This window comes from Homo sapiens, chromosome 12 (assembly GCF_000001405.40).
Source record: "Homo sapiens chromosome 12, GRCh38.p14 Primary Assembly".
Lineage (NCBI taxonomy): Eukaryota > Metazoa > Chordata > Mammalia > Primates > Hominidae > Homo > Homo sapiens.
In genome coordinates, this window is record NC_000012.12 from 129,008,098 (window position 1) to 129,009,336 (window position 1,239).

The window sequence follows — 1,239 nt, forward strand, 5'->3', positions numbered from 1 at the left end:
AGGCCTTTCCAGAAGCCAAGCCAAAGCCACTCTGCTTCCTGTACCATCTGCAGAACCATGAGCCAATGACACCTCGCTTCTTTAGACATTACCCAGTCCCAGGTATGTCTTCATAGCAGTGCGAGAATGGACTCATACAGCCCCTTCTTCCATCTTTACTGCCAGCAGGACAGCGTCTTCAGGTCTCTCTGACCTCTGCGTGTCCTTGCATCTCCTATTGTTCTGGGACTCTGTCTCCCTATTATAAACATTTTGATTCTTGGGATAATCCCAGATGATCTGCTCACATAATCACCTGATGTGGTTTGGATCTGTGTCTCCACCCAAATCTCCTGCTGCATTGTTATCCCCAGGGTTGGAGGCGGGGCCTGGTGGGAGGGGATTGGATCATGGGGGCGGAGTTCTCATCAATGGTTCAGCACCATTGTCTCCATGCTGTTCTCAGGAGGGTGAGTGCGTGAGTTCCTATGAGATCCGGTTAGGTGTGTGGCACCTCCACCCACCTTTGGCCCTGCTCCTGCCATGTAAGATATCTGCTTCCACTTCACCTTCTGCTATGAATCAAAGCTCCCTGAGGCCTCCCCAGGAGCAGATGCTACCAGGCTTCCTGTGCAGCCTGCAGAACTGTGCGCCATTTAAACCTCTTTTCTTTGTAAATTACCCACCCTCAGTTATTTCCTTATAGCAGTGCAAGAACAGACTAATACGTCACCCCTACAAAATCCATTTGGCCATGTCAGTAACACCTCCACAGGTTCCAGGGATTAAGATGTGGACATCTCCGGGGTGTCATTGTATATTTACCACATAATCTAAAGAGTGTGTGTGTGGAGGGGGAGAAGAACATGGAACTAACCTTATTCATCTGCATTCCTGGCTTTTGCAAATCTGTTTACTGCAGGTCCAGAATGTGAATGTCTCACTTAGAAAGTCAAGCAGTGGCCGGGGTGGTGACTCATGCCCATAATACCAGTACTTTGGGAGGCCAAGGTGGGTGGATCACTTGAGGTCAGGAGTTCGAGTCCAGCCTGGCCAATATGGCGAAACCCTGTCTCCACTAAAAATACAAAAATTATCCGGGCTTGGTGGTGCGTGCCTGTAATCCCAGCTACTCGAGTGGCTAAGGCACGAGAATCGCTTGAACCCCAGAGGCAGAGGTTGCAGAGAGCTGGGCACCATTGCACTCCAGCCTGGGTGATAGAGCCTGACTCTGTGAAAGAAAGAGAGAAAGAGAGAGAG